At 38.9% G+C, this 21,195-nt stretch overlaps 1 long non-coding RNA gene across 1 annotated transcript in view, besides 2 other annotated features; it reads right to left on the bottom strand.

Annotated features, from left to right (window-relative positions):
* Positions 5,143–5,642: an enhancer, noted in NCBI's record as "H3K4me1 hESC enhancer chr12:11443667-11444166 (GRCh37/hg19 assembly coordinates)". NCBI's record gives its function as "activates a minimal SCP1, AML or CMV promoter by ChIP-STARR-seq in primed H9 embryonic stem cells {active_cell/tissue: H9 hESC(primed)}" and the evidence as "EXISTENCE:reporter gene assay evidence [ECO:0000049][PMID:30033119]".
* Positions 5,643–6,144: an enhancer, noted in NCBI's record as "H3K4me1 hESC enhancer chr12:11443165-11443666 (GRCh37/hg19 assembly coordinates)". NCBI's record gives its function as "activates a minimal SCP1, AML or CMV promoter by ChIP-STARR-seq in primed H9 embryonic stem cells {active_cell/tissue: H9 hESC(primed)}" and the evidence as "EXISTENCE:reporter gene assay evidence [ECO:0000049][PMID:30033119]".
* The window catches only part of LOC107987435 (uncharacterized), a 96,284-nt gene continuing 85,828 nt past the window's right edge, over positions 10,740–21,195 (bottom strand). The window contains exon 2 of the long non-coding RNA XR_007063209.1: positions 10,740–18,905. This is a non-coding gene — a long non-coding RNA (uncharacterized LOC107987435). The remainder of the gene's footprint in view (positions 18,906–21,195) is intronic.

Here is a 21,195-nt window from a genome sequence, read left to right as displayed (position 1 = left end):
GTTAATTTCTTAAATTATTATACTTTAAGTTCTAGGGTACATGTGCACAATGTGCAGGTTTGTCACATATGTATATATGTGCCATGTTGGTGTGCTGCATCCATTAACTCGTCTTTTACATTAGATATATTTCCTAATGCTATCCCTCCCCCCTACCCCCACCCTAACAACAGACGCCAGTGTGTGATGTCCCCTTCCTGTGTCCAAGTGTTCTCATTGTTTAATTCCCACCTATGAGTGAGAACATGTGATGTTTGGTTTTTTGTCCTTGCGATAGTTTGCTGAGAATGATGGTTTCCAGATTCATCCATGTCCCTATAAAGGAAATGAAGTCATCATTTTTTATGGCTGCATAGTATTCCATGGTGTATATGTGCCACATTTTCTTAATCCAGTCTATCGTTGTTGGACATTTGGCTTGGTTCCAAGTCTTTGCTATTGTGAATAGTGCTGCAATAAACATACGTGTGCATGTGTCTTTATAGCAGCATGATTTATAGTCCTTTGGGTATATATCCTGTAATGGGATGGCTGGGTCAAATGGTATTTCTAGTTCTAGATCCCTGAGGAATCGCCACACTGACTTCCACAAGGGTCGAACTAGTTTACAGTCCCACCAACAGTGTAAAAGTGTTCCTATTTCTCCACATCCTCTCCAGCACCTGTTGTTTCTGGACTTTTTAATGATTGCCATTCTAACTGGTGTGAGATGGTATCTCATTGTGGTTTTGATTTGCATTTATCTGATGGCCAGTGATGGTGAGCATTTTTTCATGTGTTTTTTGGCTGCATAAATGTCTTCTTTTGAGAAATGTCTGTTCATGTCCTTCGCCCACTTTTTGATGGGGTTGTTTGTTTTTTTTCTTGTAAATTTGTTTGAGTTTATTGTAGATTCCGGATATTAGCCCTTTGTCAGATGAGTAGGTTGTGAAAATTTTCTCCCATTTTGTAGGTTGCCTGTTCACTCTGATGGTAGTTTCTTTTGCTGTACAGAAGCTCTTGAGTTTAATTAGATCCCATTTGTCAATTTTGGCTTTTGTTGCCATTGCTTTTGGTGTTTTAGACATGAAGTCCTTCTCCATGCCTATGTCCTGAATGGTAATGCCTAGGTTTTCTTCTAGGGTTTTTGTGGTTTTAGGTCTAATGTTTAAGTCTTTAATGCATCTTGAATTAATTTTTGTATAAGGTGTAAGGAAGGGATCTAGTTTCAGCTTTCTACATATGGCTAGCCTCTTTTCCCAGCACCATTTATTAAATAGGGAATCCTTTCCCCATTGCTTGTTTTTCTCAGGTTTGTCAAAGATCAGATAGTTGTAGATATGCAGCATTATTTCTGAGGGCTCTTTTCTGTTCCATTGGTCTATATCTCTGTTTTTGTACCAGTACCATGCTGTTTTGGTTACTGTAGCCTTGTAGTATAGTTTGAAGTCAGGTTGCGTGATGCCTCCAACTTTGTTCTTTTGGCTTAGGATTGACTTGGCGATGAGGGCTCTTTTTTGGTTCCATATGAACTTTAAAGTAGTTTTTTCCAATTCTGTGAAGGAAGTCATTGGTAGCTTGATGGGGATGGCATTGAAATTACCTTGGGCAGTATGGCCATTTTCATGATATTGATTCTTCCTACCCATGAGCATGGAATGTTCTTCCATTTGTTTGTATCCTCTTTTATTTCCTTGAGCAGTGGTTTGTAGTTCTCCTTGAAGAGGTCCTTCACATCCCTTGTAAGTTGGATTCCTAGGTATTTTATTCTCTTTGAAGCAATTGCGAATGGGAGTTCACTCATGATTTGGCTCTTTGTTTGTCTGTTATTTGTGTATAAGAATGCTTGTGATTTTTGTACATTGATTTTGTATCCTGAGACTTTGCTGAAGTTGCTTATCAGCTTAAGGAGATTTTGGGCTGAAACAATGGGGTTATCTAGATATACAATCATGTCATCTGCAAACAGGGACAATTTGACTTCCTCTTTTCCTAACTGAATATGCCTTATTTCCTTGTCCTGCCTCGTTGCCCTGGCCAGAACTTCCAATACTATGTTGAATAGGAGTGGTGAGAGAGGGCATCCCTGTCTTGTGCCAGTTTTCAAAGGGAATGCTTCCAGTTTTTGCCCATTCAGTATGATATTGGCTGTGGGTTTGTCATAAATAGCTCTTATTATTTTGAGATATGTCCCATCAATACCTAATTTATTGCGAGTTTTTAGCATGAAGTGTTGTTGAATTTTGTCAAAGGCCTTTTCTGCATAGATAATCATGTGGTTTTTGTCTTTGGTTCTGTTCATATGCTGGATAACATTTATTGATTTGCATATATTGAACCAGCCTTGTATCCCAGGGATGAAGCCCTCTTGATCATGGTGGATAAGCTTTTTGATGTGCTGCTGGATTTGGTTTGCCAGTATTTTATTGAGGATTGTTGCATCAATGTTCATCAAGGATATTGGTCTAAAATTCTCTTTTTTGGTTGCATCTCTGCCAGGCTTTGGTATCAGGATGATGCTGGCCTCATAAAATGAGTTAGTGAGTCCCTCTTTTTCTATTGATTAGAATAGTTTCAGAAGGAATGGTACCAGTTCCTCCTTGTACCTCTGGTAGAATTCGGCTGTGAATCCACCTGGTCCTGGACCTTTTTGGTTGGTAAGCTATTGATTATTGCCACAATTTCAGATCCAGTTATTGGTCTATTCAGAGAGTCAACTTCTTCCTGGTTTAGTCTTGGGAGGGTGTATGTGTCAAGGAATTTATCCATTTCTTCTAGATTTTCTAGTTTATTTGCATAGAGGTGTTTGTAGTATTCTCTGATGGTAGTTTGTATTTCTGTGGGATCGGTGGTGATATCCCCTTTGTCATTTTTATTGCGTCTATTTGATTCTTCTCTGTTTTCTTCTATATTAGTCTTGCTAGCGGTCTATCAATTTTGTTGATCCTTTCAAAAAACCAACTATTGGATTCGTTAATTTTTTGAAGTGTTTTTGTGTCTCTATTTCCTTCAGTTCTGCTCTGATTTTAGTTATTTCTTGCCTTCTGCTAGCTTTTGAATGTGTTTGCTCTTGCTTTTCTAGTTCTTTTAATTGTGATGTTAGGGTGTCAATTTTAGATCTTTCCTGCTTTCTTTTGTGGGCATTTAGTGCTATAAATTTCCCTCTACACACTGCTTTGAATGTGTCCCAGAGATTCTGGTATGTTGTATCTTTGTTCTCAGTGGTTTCAAAGAACATCTTTATTTCTGCCTTCATTTCGTTATGTACCCAGTAGTCATTCAGGAGCAGGTTGTTCAGTTTCCATGTAGTTGAGCAGTTTTGAGTGAGTTTCTTAATCCTGAGTTCTCGTTTGATTGCACTGTGGTCTGAGAGACAGTTTGTTATAATTTCTGATATTTTACATTTGCTGAGGAGAGCTTTACTTCCAACTATGTGGTCAATTTTGGAATAGGTGTGGTGTGGTGCTGAAAAAACTGTATATTCTGTTGATTTGGGGTGGAGAGTTCTGTAGATGTCTATTAGGTCCGCTTGGTGCAGAGCTGAGTTCAATTCCTGGGTAGCCTTGTTAACTTTCTGTCTTGTTGATCTGTCTAATGTTGACAGTGGGGTGTTAAAGTCTCCCATTATTATTGTGTGGGAGTCTAAGTCTCTTTGTAGGTCACTCAGGACTTGCTTTATGAACCTGGGTGCTCCTGTATTGGGTGCATATATATTCAGGATAGTTAGCTCTTCTTGTTGAATTGATCCCTTTACCATTATGTAATGGCCTTATTTGTCTCTTTTCATCTTTGTTGGTTGAAAGTCTGTTTTATCAGAGAGTAGGTTTGCAATCCCTGCCTTTTTTTGTTTTCCATTTGCTTGGTAGATCTTCCTCCATCCTTTTATTTTGAGCCTATGTGTGTCTCTGCACGTGAGATGTGTTTCCTGAATACAGCACACTGATGGGTCTTGACTTTTTATCCAATTTGCCAGTCTGTGTCTTTTAATTGGAGCATTTAGTCCATTTATATTTAAAGTTAATATTGTTATGTGTGAATTTGATCCTGCCATTATGATGTTAGCTGGTTGTTTTGCTTGTTAGTTGATGCAGTTTCTTCCTAGCCTTGATGGTCTTTACAATTTGGCATGATTTTGCAGTGGCTGGTACCGGTTGTTCCTTTCCATGTTTAGTGCTTCCTTCAGGAGCTCATTTAGGGCAGGCCTGGTGGTGACAAAATCTATCAGCATTTGCTTGTCTTTAGAGGATTTTATTTGTGTTTCACTTATGAAGCTTAGTTTGGCTGGATATGAAATTCTGGGTTGAAATTCTTTTCTTTAAGATTGTTGAATATTGGCCCCCACTCTCTTCTGGCTTGTAGAGTTTCTGCCTGGAGATCCACTGTTAGTCTGATGGGCTTCCCTTTGTGGGTAACCCAACCTTTCTCTCTGGCTGCCCTTAACATTTTTTCCTTCATTTCAACTTTGGTGAATCTGACAATTATGTGTCTTGGAGTTGCTCTTCTCGAGGAGTATCTTTGTGGCATTCTCTGTATTTCCTGAGTCTGAATGTTGGCCTGCCTTGCTAGATTGGGGAAGTTCTCCTGGATAATATCCTGCAGAGTGTTTTCCAACTTGGTTCCATTCTCCCTGTCACTTTCAGGCACACCAATCAGACGTAGATTTGGTCTTTTCACATAGTCCCATATTTCTTGGAGGCTTTGTTCATTTCTTTTTATTCTTTTTTCTCTAAAGTTCCCTTCTCGCTTCATTTCATTCATTTCATCTTCCATCACGATACCCTTTCTTCCAGTTGATCGCATCAGCTCTTGAGGCTTCCGCATTCTTCACGTAGTTCTTGAGCCTTGGCTTTCAGCTCCGTCAGCTCCTTTAAGCACTTCTTTGTATTGGTTATTCTAGTTATACATTCGTCTAAAGTTTTTTCAAAGTTTTCAACTTCTTTGCCTTTGGTTTGAATTTCCTCCTGTAGCTTGGAGTAGTTTGATCGTCTGAAGCCTTTTTTTCTCAACTCATCAAAGTCATTCTGCGTCCAGCTTTGTTCTATTGCTGGTGAGGAGCTGCTTTCCTTTGGAGGAGGAAAGGCACTCTGCTTTTTAGAGTTTCCAGTTTTTCTGCTCTGTTTTTTCCCCATCTTTGTGGTTTTATCTAGTTTTGGTCTTTGATGATGGTGATGTACAGATGGGTTTTTGGTGTGGATGTCCTTTCTGTTTGTTAGTTTTCCTTCTAACAGACAGGACCCTCAGCTGCAGGTCTGTTGGAGTTTGCTAGAGGTCCACTCCAGACCTGGTTTTCCTGGGTACCAGCTGCAGTGGCTGCAGAACAGCAGAGTTTCGTGAACTGCGAATGCTGCTGTCTGATCGTTCCTCTGGAAGTTTTGTCTCAGAGGAGTACCCAGCTGTGTGAGGTGTCAGTCTGCCCTTACCAGGGGGTGCCTCCCATTTAGGCTGCTCAGGGTTCAGGGGTCAGGGACCCACTTGAGGAGGCAGTCTGCCCATTCTCAGATCTCCAGCTGCATGCTGGGAGAACCACTGCTCTCTTCAAAGCTGTCAGACAGGGACATTTAAGTCTGCAGAGGTTACTGCTGTCTTTTTTTTTGTCTGTGCCCTGCCCCCAGAGGTGGAACCTACAGAGGCAGGCAGGCCTCCTTGAGCTGTGGTGGGCTCCACTCAGTTCGAGCTTCCCGGCTGCTTTGTTTACCTAAGCAAGCCTGGGCAATGGCGGGCGCCCCTCCCCCAGCCTCTCTGCCGCTTTGCAGTTTGATCTCAGACTGCTGTGCTAGCAATCATCGAGACTCCGTGGGCGTAGAACCCTCTGAGCCAGGTGCAGGATATAATCTCCTGATGCACCGTTTTTTAATCCTGTTGGAAAAGCGCAGTATTGGGGTGGGAGTGACCCGATTTTCCAGGTGCCATCTGTGACCCCTTTCTTTGACTAGGAAAGGGAACTCCCTGACCCCTTGTGCTTCCTGAGTGAGGCAATGCCTCGCCCTGCTTCAGCTCACACACGGTGCACTGCACCCACTGTCCTGCGCCCACTGTCTGGCACTCCCTAGTGAGATGAACCACGTACCTCAGATGGAAATGCAGAAATCACCCATCTTCTGCGTTGCTCATGCTGGGAGCTGTAGACCAGAGCTGTTCCTATTTGGCCGTCTTGGCTCCAGCCTCACCACATTTTCTTAATCCAGTCTATCATTGTTGGACATTCGGGTTGGTTCCAGGTCTTTGCTATTGTGAATAGTGCTGCAATAAACATACGTATGCATGTGTCTTTATAGCAGCATGATTTATAATCCTTTGGGTATATATCCAGTAATGGGATGGCTGGGTCAAATGGTATTTCTAGCTCTAGATCCCTGAGGAATCACCACACTGTCTTCCACAATGGTTGAACCAGTTTACACTCTCACCAACAGTGTAAAAGTGTTCCTATTTCTCCCCTCCTCTCCAGCACCTGTCTTTTACTGACATTTTAATGATTGCCATTCTAACTGGTGTGAGATAGTATCTCATTGCGGTTTTGATTTGCATTTCTCTGATGGCCAGTGATGATGAGCATTTTTTCCTGTGTCTGTTGGCTGCATAAATGTCTTCTTTTGAGAAGTGTCTGTTCATATCCTTCACCCATTTGTTGATGGGGTTGTTTGCTTTTTTCTTGTAAATTTGTCTGAGTTCATTGTAGATTCTGGATATTAGCCCTTTGTCAGATGAGCAGCTTGCAAAAATTTTCTCCCCCTCTGTAGGTTGCTACAGAGTGGCATCTGCTCACTCTGATGGTAGTTTCTTTTGTTGCTCAGAATCTCTTTAGTTTAATTAGATCCCATTTGTCAATTTTTGCTTCTGTTGTCATTGCTTTTGGTGTTTTAGACATGAAGTCCTTGCCCATGTCTATGTCCTGGATGGTATTGCCTAGGTTTTCTTCTAGGGTTTTTATGGTTTTAGATTTAACATTTAAGTCTTTAATCCATCTTGAATTAATTTTTGTATAAGGTGTAAAGGTGTAAGGAAGGGATCCAGTTTCAGCTTTCTACATATAGCTAGCCCGTTTTCCCAGCACCATTTGTTAAATAGGGAATCCTTTCCCCATTTCTTGTTTTTGTCAGGTTTGTCAAAGATCAGATAGTTGTAGACATGTGGTATTATTTCTGAGGGCTCTGTTCTGTCCCATTGGTCTATATCTCTGGTTTGGTACCAGTACCATGCTGTTTTGGTTACTGTAGCCTTGTAGTATAGTTTGAAGTCAGGTAGCCTGATGCCTCTAGCTTTGTTCTTTTGGCTTAGGATCGACTTGGCAATGCAGGCTCTTTTTTGGTTCCATATGAACTTTAAATTAGTTTTTTCCAATTCTGTGAAGAAAGTCATTGGTAGCTTGATGGGGATGGCATTGAATCTGTAAATTACCTTGGGCAGTATGGCCATTTTCACGATTTTGATTCTTCCTATCCATGAGCATGGAGTTTTCTTCCATTTGTATCTTCTTTTATTTTGTTGAGGAAGTTCTGGCCAGGGCAATCAGAAAGGAGAAAGAAAGAAAGTGTATTCAATTAGGAAAAGAGGGAGTCAAATTGTCTCTGTTTGCAGATGACATTATTGTATATCTAGAAAACCCCATCGTCTCAGCCCAAAATCTCCTTAAGCTGATAAGCAACTTCAGCAAAGTCTCAGGATACAAAATCAATGTGCAAAAATCACAAGCATTCTTATATACCAACAACAGAGAAACAGCCAAATCATGATGAACTCCCATTCACAATTGCTTCAAAGAGAATAAACTACCTAGGAATCTAACTTACAAGGGATGTGAAGGACCTCTTCAATTAGTTAATTTTTGTGTAAGGTGTAAGGAAGGGGTACATTTTCAGTTTTCTGCATATGGCTAGTCAGTTTTCCAAACACCGTTTATTAAATAGGGAAACCATTCCCCATTGCTTGTTTTTGTCAGGTTTGTCAAAGAGCAGATGGTTGTAGATGTGTGGCGTGATTTCTGAGGCCTCTGTTCTGTTCCATTGGTCTATATATCTGTTTTGGTACCAGTACCATGCCATTTTGGTTACTGTAGCCTTGTAGTATAGTTTGAAATCAGGTTGCATGATGCCTCCAGCTTTGTTCTTTTTGCTTAGTATTGTCTTGGCAATATGGGCTCTTTTTAGTTCCATATGAAATTTAAAGTAGTTTTTTCTAATTCTCTGAAGAAAGTCAATGGTAGTTTGATGGGAATAGTGTTGAATCTATAAATTACTTTGAGCATTGTGGCCATTTTCACAATATTGATTCTTCCTATCCATGAGCCTGGAATGTTTTTCCATTCGTTTGTGTCCTCTCTGATTCCCTTGAGCAGTGGTTTGTAGTTCTCCTTGTAGAGGTCCTTCACATCCCTTGTAAGTTGGATTCCTAGGTATTTTATTCTCTTTGAAGCAATTGTGAATGGGAGTTCACTCATGATTTGGCTGTTTGTCTGTTATTGGTGTATAAGAATGCTTGTGATTTTCGTACATTGATTTTGTATCCTAAGACTTTGCTGAAGTTGCTTATTAGCTTAAGGAGTTTTGGGGCTGAGATGATGGTGTTTTCTAAATATACAATCATATCATCTGCAAACAGAGACAATTTGACTTCCTCTCTTTCTATTTGAATACCTTTATTTCTTTCTCTTTCCTAATTGCCCTGGCCAGAACTTCCAATACTATGTTGAATAGGAGTGGTGAGAGAGGGCATTCTTGTCTTGTGCAGGTTTTCAGAGGGAATGCTACCAGTTTTGCCCATTCTGTATGATATTGGCTATGGGTTTTTCATAAATAGGTCTTATTATTTTGAGATATGTTTCATCAATACCTAGTTTATTATGTTTAGAATGAATGGGTGTTGAATTTCATCAGAGGCCTTTTCTGCATCTATTGAGATAATCATGTGCTTTTTGTCATTTGTTCTGTTTACTTGACGGATTACATTTATTGATTTCTGTTTGTTCAACCAGCCTTGCATCCCAGGGATGAAGCTGACTTGATCACGGTGGATAAGGTTTTTGATGTGCTGCTGGATTCGGTTAGCCAGTATTTTATAGAGGATTTTCGCATTGATGTTCATGAGGGATATTGGCCTAAAATTTTGTTTTTTTTGTTGTGTCTCTGCTAGGTTTTGGTGTCAGGATGATGCTGGCCTCATAAAATGAGTTAGGAAGGCGTGCCTCTTTTTCTATTGTATGGAATATTTTCAGAAGGAATGGTACCAGCAGCTCTTTGTACCTCTGGTATAATTCGGCTGTGAATCCAGCTGGTCCTGGGCTTTTTTTCTTGGTAGGTTATTAATTACTACCTCAATTTCAGAACTTTTTATTGGTCTATTCAGCGATTCAACTTCTTCCTGGCTTAGTGTCTGGAGTGTGAATGTGTCCAGGAATTTGTCCTTTTCTTCTAGATTTTCTAGTTTATTTGTGTAGAGGTGTTTATGGTATTCTGTGATGGTAGTTTGTATATCAGTGGGACACTGGTAATATTCCCTTTATCATTTTTTATTGTGTCTATTTAATTCTTCTCTCTTTTCTTCTTTATTAGTCTGGCTAGTGCTCTATATATTTTGTTAATCTTTTCAAAAAACCAGCAACTGGATTCATTGATTTTTTGAAGGGTTTTTCATGTCTCTATCTCCTTCAGTTCTGCTCTGATCTTAGTTATTTCTTGTCTTCTGCTAGCTTTTGAATTTGTTTGCTCTTGCTTCTCTAGTTCTTTTAATTGTGATGTTAGGGTGTCAATTTTATTTTATTTTATTTTTTCTTATTATTCTTTAAGTTCTAGGGTACATTTGCACAATGTGCAGGTTTGTTACATATGTATACTTGTGCCATGTTGGTTTGCTGCACCCATTAACTCATCATTTACATTAGATATTTCTCCTAATGCTATCCCTCCCCCATCTCCCCACCACACAACAGGCCCTGGTGTGTGATGTTCCCCACACTGTGTCCAAGTGTTCTCATTGTTCAATTCCCACCTATGAGTGAGAACATTTGGTGTTTGGTTTTCTTTCCTTGTGATAGTTTGCTCAGAATGATGGTTTCCTGCTTCATCCATGTCGCTACAAAGGACATGAACTAATCGTTTTTTATCACTGCACAGTATTCCATGGTGTATATGTGCCACGTGTTCTTAATTCAGTCTATCATTGATGGACATTTGGGTTGGTTCCCAACCCAAAAGACCTTGGAAACACAGTATATTGATGCAAATTGTTGAGAGCTTCAACTGACAGAAAGGTGCCTGAGCTCCTGTTGCAGTCCTGCTCCTCACTTTGACCCCATCCTCACTCACTGACAGGGTCTCTTTCAGCTCTTCTGTCACCTCTGTTTTATTTGTGTCTGGAGAGTTCATAGCTGATTTTTATTCTTCTCTAATACACTAATCTTTTTCACTCATTGCTGACATTGGAAAATGTCAGGGAAAGGGCGTGAGCTGAGTGATATTTGAAGGCAATGCTTGCTGTCTTCCTGTATTCACCAAGACAAGGGGGAGCCTTTCTTTCACCAGGACTATCACTTCTACAGGAACCTATGCAACGAGGCAAGTCTGCATGGCACTTCCCTCTGTGCCTGCCCTCTGATCTTCCTTTCCTACTTAGAAGGTCCAGCATAAGTCACTAAGCAGGAACATTCATCTCCAGTTTCCCTGTCCAATTAGTGTGTGTGGAATGTAGTGACACTCATCCCAATAACATTAGGGTACCTGCTAGGCCAGGCAACTATTCTGTGCCTCCCATAAAGCACATAAAGCCAAGCTACAATTGTTTTATTATTGCATAGCCAAAGAAGAATTGCTAACTGGTAATATATTTCCTCTTAGCAAACATCCCTAATATTCCAGAAGGGGTGAGGGAGGAAAACAACAATCTGCCTGATCACCAGCCAATGGCAGAGTAATCAGCAACAAACTTCATTGTATGAGGACAACTTCCAGTAATATAAGGCATCTTCAAACTGTTTGTGGAAAATATATATTATTTTTTAAAATTATGCAGGGATACAAACATTTTTCATACCAAAATACATTTTTACTAACTTGTTACAACATGTCTGAAAAGGATATAGTTCAGTCACTAACATGGTTGAGACAGCAGTTTGAAAACAACTTCTATCAGATCAACAAATATTCTACTAAAATTGTATCAAGAACAAATATCAAGTTTATGATGCAGCTTGGGCGGAGGGATGGTGAAATCACTGATGCATCATGAAATATTTGTGCCCAAGTAAATCAGCCCTTCACAAATGGATAACTCCTTTTAAGAATTGACTAGATGATGGTGAAGATGAACTCTGCAGCAGCAGACCATACACAGCAACTTATGGGCAAAAATTTTATCTTCTTTTATTCCAATTGAAGAGACCTCACAGTTAACAGCAGAAAAAAGGGCTAGCACAAGAAGACTGTCAATTGGTTCAGATTACATAAATTTTTTTCTGGCTGAAAAATTAAAGTTGAGCAAACTATCGACTTGATGATGGCCAAAACTGCTGTACCTGAGTCAGCTACAGAGAAGAACAGAAGGTTCAATGAAAAATTAAAGAAGTAGGAAGTAGAAGAAAAGAAAAGAAAAGATCCTAAAGCATTTCTTTGGAGAGTTGTAACAGGAAATCAAACATGGCTTTACCAGTGCCATCCTAAAGGAAAAACACAATCAAAGCAATGGCTACCAAGAGGTGGAAGTGGTCTAGTCTAAATAAATGCGACAAGAGCAAACATCATGTCAACGGTATTTTTGGATGTTCGAGGTATTTTGTTTGTTAACTTTCTGGAGGGTCAAAGATGACGACATCAGCTTATAAGTTTGGAGTTTGGAGAAAGTTAGCCAAATCTTTAGCAGATAAATGGATGAGATTGGATGCCTAGTGAATGTCCCTCATAAGTCTGGCAAAATTGCCCTTGTTTCATGAGAGAAATGAGCAGGAGCATTGTTGTGATGGATAAGAACTCTCTGCTAAAGCTTTTCCGGGCATTTCCCTGCTAAAGTTTTGGCTAACTTACTCCATACTCTCTCATAAGTTGATGTTATCATTCTAAGTCAAGCAACTTAGGAATGGAAAAGCCAACATCGCATGTTCTCACTCATGAATCGGAGCTAAACTATGAGAATGCGAAGGCATAAGAATGACACAATGGACTTTGGGAACTCAGGGGGAAAGAGTGGGAAAGGGGAGAGGGGTAAAAGACGTCACTTTTACCTCTCTCTTATACACTGGGTGCAGTGTATACTGCCCGGATGATGGGTGCACCAAAATCTCACAAATCACCACTGCAGAACTGATTCACATAACCAAACACCACCTGTTCCCCAAGCTATGTAAATAAAACAAAAAAGAAAAAAAAAAAAAAGAAAATCCCTAGGCACCCAACTTACAGTTCTGATGCAGTATCTTTGGACTTCAGATTTTTTTTCTAATATTGAAATATTTTTAAAGTGTACTCTGTTTTCTTCAGTTAATGATGTGAAAAGACTGCATTCTGAAACTAATTTCAGGATCGTCAATTTTTATAGATAGGCTAAATTACTTGTATCATTACTTGCTAAACTTCTTGAATGTGATGGAGCTTACGTTAAGAAATAAAGTTTACATAATGTCTACTTTCATATTGTAATTATATTCTTCCACAAACTTTTTGAAATCCCCTTTTATTCTCAAACCATTCTGGAAGGGCAGGAACAGATTCTTATGTGTACAACACAGGATCCCCTCATCCAACTGATCAAGCAGTTTGTCTTTAGGATTTCCAGTCACATCCCCCTACTCATTACTTCTAACATGGCCATCCCGAAGTTATCACTATCCCTGAACAAAAACTGAATGACAGCACGAGACTTATTCAAAGCCTGAAATGATAAGTGGCAGCTGTTGATACTGACTCACCTACGCTTTCCATGAAAAGGATGAAAGGATGGGCAGGAACTACTTGATATAACAGAAAAGTCAGCAGATGAAAAGAGAGCTACCAACAGAACCTCAGTAAAAAGACCTTGGAAACACAGTATATTGATGCAAATTTTAAAAACAAAAAGAAAAATAAAGGAGTAACAAGAAATATAGATGGTTACTTAGAAGATTAGATTTAAAAATTTTCCCAAATTTCATTTAAAAAGAAGTCAGATATAAGATGAAAAGTAAACACAGGCAAGATTGATTTAGAACACAAAATTTCAATAAATACATTTTAGAAAGAGACTGGGAAGAAATTAGTTTCAGAATATTGCAAAAATGAAAAAAATTTCTGTGTGAAAGAACAGTCTGGGAGACAGATATCACAGGCTCTAAGAAATAGATCAATGCAATACTCTTGAGGCTTTTATGTGGGTGCCAGACCATCTTATTTAAGCATATAATTGTGACCACGCATTTTAATTGGGAGTGATTAAAAATTTTTCCTAGAAGAAAGGCTGAATGTGGCAACTGATGCCTATAATCGCAGGACTTTGGAAGAGTGAGGTGTGAGGATCCCTTGAGGCCAGAAGTTCAAGACCAGGCCGGACACGGTGGCTCATGCCTGTAATCCCAGCACTTTGGGAGGCCGAGGCGGGCAGATCATGAGATCAGGAGATCGAGACCATCCTGGCTAACACAGTGAAACCCCGTTTCTATTAGAAATACAAAACCAAATTAGCCGGGCGTGGTGGTGGGCGCCTGTAGTCTCAGCTACTAAGGAGGCTGAGGCAGGAGAATGGCGTGAACCCAGGAGGCGGAGCTTACAGTGAGCAGAGATTGCGCCACTGCACTCCAGCCTGGGACAGAGTGAGACTCCGTCTCCAAAAAAAAAAAAAAAAAAAAAAAAAGGCCAGCCTGAGCAAAGTGAGGCTCCATCTCTTCAAGAAAAGTTTAAAACAAACAAACAAAAAATAAACGGACATGGTGTCATGAACCTGTAATTCAAGCCACTCAAGAGGCAGAAGCGGGGGGAATCCCCTGAGCACAGGAGTTCAAGGATGCTGTAAGCCAGGATCATGACACCACACTCCAGCCTGGGTGACAGAGCGAGAATCTATATTAAAAAACAAAATTTCCTAAAAGATGTAAATCCCAAACTGAATCTGATCAAACATTCTAACAAAGGGGTAGAGCAAGGAAAAAAATTTAAAGACAAAATAGGATGTCCCCTTTAAGAACTGTGTATTCATTCTGTTCATTCTAGAACCCCTTGGTAGTTTTCGGGGCCAACTTTGTTTTAACCTCCCCATGAATATTAATAATACAATGCGTGAAGACACCTGTATTCTACAACACCAAGACTTTTCTGACTAGAGCCAGATCAAAGAATATTAGACAATCTGTGTGGGTCTGACCAGGCTGAGGGCCAACCTTCTGTCAGCCATGAATGGCCAGGTTTGTGTTGTCTTCACACAGCTCAAAGTTCCAAAGAAATAATCTCTATATAATCAAATATTTAGCAAAATATGATAGGCATAGGTATACAAAAATCCACAACCAACTTCTTGTCCCTTAGAATATGATTGTGTTTAGAAAACAGCCCTAGGAAGAGGTTATCAAGCTGAAATGATGGAGTTTCAGTGGAACTAAATCCAATAAGATTGCTGTCCTTATAAGAAGTGGAAATTCCTTATAAGAACTGGAAATTTGTAGAGAGAGACACAGGAAGTACATACACATCCATGGAAGGACACAGCAAGAAGGCAGATACCTAGATGCCAAGCAGACACAGCCCAGAAGAACTAAACCTGCTGACACCTTCCTCATGGAACTTGAGCATCCAGAAGTGTTGGAAAGTAATTTCTATTGCTTAAGAATACCTAGTCTGTGATATTTTGTTTTGACGGCTATGATGAAGAAATTCAGGGGAGAGCAGGTTTTAGGAGTAGAAATCAAGAGTCCTGCTTGGCACATGGTAAATTTACATTTGTTTTAAATGGCAAGTGGATTACTGAGGTCCTTGACTCATGGACAAGTGCCTAAGCTCCTGTTGCAGTCCTGCTCCTTGCTTTGACCTCATCCTAAGTGACACTGTCTCCTTCAGTTCTTTGGTAACCTCTGTTTTGGTTGTCTCTGGTAGCTTGATACCTGATATTTACTCCTTCCTGATATGCTAATCTCTTTCATGCATTTCTGACATAGGAGAAGGTCATGAATAGGGTGTGAGCAGAGTGATATTTGGAAGCATCACCTCTTGGCTTGCTGTACTCAGTAGACAAAAAGAAGCCTGCCTCCAACCAGGACTATTGACTCCCACAAGGAGGCACATCTGCCTGGCACTCCTCTCTGCTTCTTCTCTCTTGTGTTTCTTCCCTACCTGATGGGCCATCGTAAGCTACCTAGGCCAGACTGCTCATCGCCAGCTTATCTTTCCAAATAATGTTTGGTGAAACCAGAGAAAATCATTCAATAAGATCAGGACACCAGGTTGGCCCAAGCACTCTGTGTCTCTATTAAAGCATGTGACTCTTACTTACAAATGTTAAACTTTCCATGTAGCTGGAGAAAATTTGGCCATTGGTATTATATTCCACCTTCAGAAAACATTCCTATTTATGCTAGGAGAAAAACAAGAAACCAATCTGCCTAGTCAGCTGGAAAAGTCTAAGTTACCTGTAGTAGAGCTTGTTGTATCAGGACGCCTTCCTATATGCAGTGGGTTGTTAAAATGTTAATGGAAAATGTATATTCTATTAAGAAATACCATGAATGGATTCCAAGTTTTTTGGCACCAAAATGAAATCATAATGTTTTGCTATAACATGTCTGAACACGAGCTAGTTTGAGGCATCAAGAAAAATAAGAGAGCAGTTTCAAAAGAGCTCCTAGAAGAGCAACATGAATTCTTCTAAAAGTAAAGTGAGTAAAAACATCAAATTTATGGTGAAGCTTGGGTGGAAGAAGATGAAATCATTGATGGTGTCCAAAAAGTTGTCCTACTTGGCACATGGTAAGTTGACATTGGTTGAAGAAGTCAGCAGTTCACAAATTCAATGAGGAGTTCCTCATTTCAGGAAGGAATGAGGCAATGTTGAACCTAAAGTCTACAGTGACAGATGATTCACATCATATTGCAAGGAATAAATTCATCTTCTTTATACCCAGGAGAAGATGTGTGATGATTAGCAGTTCACACAATAGCCAACATTGCAGACTTCTCAGTTGGTTCAGTTTACATGATTCTAACTGAATGATTAAAGTTTAGTAAACTTTTCACTTGATGGATGCCCAAACTGTGTCACCAAGATGAAGTACAGACAAGAGCAGAAGTTTCCCTAAAAAATTTAAATAGGAGCAATGAAGACTGTAAGCATTTCTTCAAGGAATTATAAGAGGAGATAACGCATGGCTTTACCAGTAAAATCCTGAAAACAAATACAATCAATGCAATGGCTACCAAGAAGTGGAAAAGTCCAGTCAAAACAAAAGTGGATGAGGAGAGCACAAAGGTCATGGCAAGAGTTTATTGGAAAGCTCAAGTCATTTTGCTGGTTGACTTTCTGGAGAATGACAATAACTGCTTATTCTGAGAATACTTTGAGAAAGCCAAAGCTTTAGTATAGGAATCCCTGGGAAAGCTTCAGCAGAGTCCTTCACCACAACCTTGCTCCTGCTCATTTATCTTATCAAACAGGGCAATTATATGAGAGTTCTGATGGAAAATCATTAGGCTTGCACATTACAACCCTAATTTGTTTCCTTTGGATTTCTTTTTGTTTTGTAATCTTATAACATTTGTAAAAGGCATTCATTTTTCTTCAGTTAATAATGTAAAAAACACATATCAATAGCTGGCACATTGACCAAAATGTATGACAAGTGGTCAATAAATCTTTTCCTTTTATATAGCTCATTAAGAAGTAGGATTAGGAAATGGTTGTAAACTGAGTACCAGGTGGTATAATTGAAACCAACTTCCCATGTAACACTTAGTTTTTGCTCCATTCCACAGATAACAGGAGGTAAAGTGTTAAAAATCCCCCAAAGCTGTTGCACACCTTTGGGGGGACTTCAAATTCAGTGTTTATTCATTTGAGTCTTAGGCTGCGGTTACAATGCTTGAATTAGCCAGTAAATGTATCTTGCTTACTTGCATGAAGATGCTTTGTTCACATCTGTCTTATCACTTCTTTTCCTCTACTCTGATTTCAGTTCCTTTAAGGCTGAGATGACCCTGGCCCAAGAAGGACTAAAGGCCCTACATACCCATCTCCAAATATTGTAAAAATATCAAGGAGGGTAGAAACATAAATATTTATAGCTCTATTGCCCATACTTGCTCAGTTCACCATTGTACTTGATTTTGTCGGAGTGTGGGAAGGCTTGCTGAGGATACAGGATAGAGCCACAGTGGCACATGAGGGGAAAGAAAGGAAGAGACTGCAAGTCTGTAGAATCCATAGACATTGGAGATGCATTTGAAAGGAAGTAGACCCTGGGGCTAGAAGCCAAGGTGGGGGAAAAAAACCTTTTCAGTTGCAGCAGTCATTTATTATTATTAATGTTATTATTAGTATTATTTCTTTTTAGAGACAGGGACTTGCTCTGTCTCTTAAGCTGGAGTACAGTGGTGCAATCATGGCTCACTGCAGTCTTGAACTCCTGGGATCAAACAATTCTTCCAGATCACCTTCTGAATTAGATGGGACTACAGGTGCCAATCACCATGCAAGGTTGATTTTGTACATTTTCTTATATACATGGGGACGTCTCACTGCATTGCTCAGGCTGATCTTGAATTCCTGGCATCAATAGTCCTCCAACCTCAGCCTCCAAAAGTAGTGGGATTACAGTCATGAGCCAGCATGCTAGGTGTATAGTCACTCTTTCTACCTCTGCCTCATTTTCCTGCATTCTGTAAATCCCCAGTCAGAAGACAGCAGGGCTGCCTGGCTACGGGGATAGCATCTAAGAAACAAATGTTAAACTCTGCGGTTCCTGTAGGGCAAAAGAAAAAAGAAGTGCTTGAGTTCAATTGAGCTTTGAGCAAATGGGTTACAAAAGATGAAAAGTTAGGAAGATGTTGTGGATAGGGCTCTTGGGACTCATTCAGTGCACTTTTCTATTGTTTTTAATTTTATAAGTGTGTATTATGTGAAATACTTATGCTTTTATCTCATAAGAGCCAAGGGGAATCATCCACGTAGAAGCTCCAAGTAGAATAATGTCAGTGGGACTAACCCATCTGCCAGTGGAGCCAGTAGGTGGATCACAATGCAGCCTGAGTGCCTGCACCCTTCAATGTCCAAAGCTTGCCTTATTGAACTTTTCATGTATTGTAAACTGAGAAAATGCCTATCTGAGGAATACAATAGAAAACTACTCAATATACTTTTACAAACCGTAAACAATTGACCAATTCTTCATGAAGCATGCAACCAAGGGATGACAACCTTGAAACAACTTGGATATGGAAATGATCAGACTTTAAAGCAGCTCTTATAGCCATCTTTTCTGAGGTAAATGTGAACATTTCCAAAATAAAGAGGGAAATAACTTCTCAGCAGAAAAGAATGGGAAAAAACTTCTCAGCAGAAAAAGGAACTATAAAATATTATAAAATAGAAATTTCAGAACTGACATATATAATGTCTAAAATTAAGAAAAAACCATATTGGCTGTGAAAATTATCAGAAAGCAAATGATTGAGGAAAGACTCAGTCAGTGTTTAGGGGTTGCAATAATAGAAATTCTATACTCTGAACAACACAGGGTAAAACAATTGAAAAAATTTAACATAGTTTCACAAATATGAAAGGCCACAACAAATGATGCGACAATCATGCAATCTGAATTTCAGAAAACAGAACAATGAGGATGATATTAAAAAAGGACTTAGAGAAATAATGGCCAAAAAATGCTCACACTTGCAAAGGACATAGACTTACAAATGCAAGAAGGTGGGAAAATTCCAATCATAATATACACAAGGAAACACATGCCCAGCAACACCATAGTCAAATTTCTGAAAAATAAAACAAATAAAATATTTTTTAAAAAGCAAGCAAGAAATGGCATCATAATTATAGGAAAAACACAATGTGGATAACCATAGAGTTAATATCAGAAACCAGGAAATGAAGAAGAATGTAACTCAAATATTTAAAGTGCTGAAGGAAAAAAAATTGCAAACCAGATGTTTATGTCCAATAAAACTGTCCTTCCATAATAAAAAGGAAATTCAGGTATTCTCAGAAGAAAGAAAAGAAGGAAACCTAAAAGAATTTGTTTCCAACAAACTAATCTTTTAAAAATGGCTCGATGGAACTTTCTCAACTAAAAGAAAGGATAGAAAAGGAATTTCTGGAAATTCAAGAATGTAGAATAAAAGAAACAAAGTGAGAAAAAAGTAAATTAACAAAAATATCTTCCTTTTCTTCTCAAGTTTTCTGCATGAGTTTCAAAAGGCTCAACTGGTATTGCTAGCTTTGAAGATGGAAGAAAGACAGGTAATGTGGCAAGAAAATGAGATTCTTCTCTAGAACCTCCAGAAAGGAATTCCATCCATGACACATGGACTCAACCCAGTGAGACCCAGTACTGATTTCTGAGCTGCAAAACTGAAAGACAATACATTTGTGTTGAAGCAAAAATTATAAAACTTACTGTGGTGCTAAGTGCCTGTAGATATGTATTTAAGATGATTATATTATGAATGCAAAGGTGAAAAGACAGAAACAAACATGAGAATTTTCCTTACCACATCGTGAGTTGTAAAGGAAAGAACCCATTGCTAACATTGACCATTTGTTCCATGCTGAGAGGTAGAAACACTACAAATACTAAGGGAAGGCACCATTCTGCAGGGAGTATGTTCTGCAGAGGAAAAACTAGTAGAAGAGCAAGAATTTAAAGCCATACCTCATATCAATAGGCCCTTCAGTTTAGCCACTAAAGTACATTTTTCAGATTCTTCCATGTACAATCTGCAATCCCACATTACATTTACAGCAGTGCTGGAAGATAGCTATTATTTGTAGACATAAAAATCAGATTATTTAGAAACTTGCTTCTATAGGTATTCTCAAGTCTTCTTTTCAGAAAAAAAATCAGATATCCCTCAAATGATTGGAGTTTGTTTTAGGGAGGAGAAGTTCTTGAAATCTTATGGTCCCCATGGGTCAGTGGAAGACAGAAAAATACATAAAGGCTTGAGTAAAGGAGTTGGCATAAAGAAGACCACTGCTAGTTCCTGAAGCTTTTACATCTCTTTTTATTCTGTTCACTCAAAACAGGGTCTTGAAAAGGGCCTGTGCACATGAAAGACCCCAAAGGTCAAGCCTCATAAGCTTTGTAGATCATTCCAATCTGACAAAAGCCATATGTCCATGTTGTTAGGATGACTGGTTAAATGAGCCTTTAATTGCTCAATAAAAATGTACAAAGGCATATTTCAGTCAAGAAAATGTGAATATAGACCAAGTTTAGCTAAAAAATAAGGTTAGTAAAAATGTGAGATAAATTCAAACTCTTTATGTATCATATCATAAACTTCTGTTTCTGATGATGTCTGCTTACTAAAAGGCACAAAAGATTCTTTTAATAGTATGGAGAGATTTGCTTTGGCAGTTCTAAAGGTGGATAAGTAACAGACTTGAAACAATGGACATTTGTTATTAAAAAATTATATTTGTTAGACTATTAGAGTATAAAAATGTATTCATCATTTAAAATTGTTGCTAGATGTTTATTCAATAACATTGTAAAAAATAACCATGTGATTATCAACTCATGGTCCTGTTACATCTAATGCAGCCAGGGAAGAAAAGACAGCAGCAGATTCTTCCGATAAAATTAGGAACACAGGTAATAGCAGTCTGCCTTGTAAAGTCACTTGAATACACTTAAATAGAAAGAGACATAAACAGAAAGATCATCTGTAGAACCTGCTATAGACTGTGATAAGGAATTTGTCTCTCTACTAAGGGTATTGGAATGCACAATGCATTGAACACATAAACATGGACTGATTTCTGCTCTTTCCTAATGTCCCAGTAAAATTAAAATAAAGAAGCACAGAGGAAATTAATACCCAAGGATGAAGAGAATGAAAGAAGAGATGACAATAAACAACAAAACTGTGGAAATGGAATGACAAATAGAAAAATAAGAGTTTGTGAATGAGCAAAGCTGAAATCAGACATGAAGAGGGGACTGTGGTGCAATTTTCACCAGAACACCTGGAAAATTAGTCCTATTTGAATATTGCAATTTCCTGTGCAAAAATTTACATGTATATACATTTCAGTGCATAT

This window comes from Homo sapiens, chromosome 12, assembly GCF_000001405.40.
Source record: "Homo sapiens chromosome 12, GRCh38.p14 Primary Assembly".
Taxonomy (NCBI): Eukaryota; Metazoa; Chordata; class Mammalia; order Primates; family Hominidae; genus Homo; species Homo sapiens.
The sequence above is the reverse complement of the archived record's forward strand: the minus strand, read 5'-3'. Positions and strand labels throughout refer to the sequence as shown.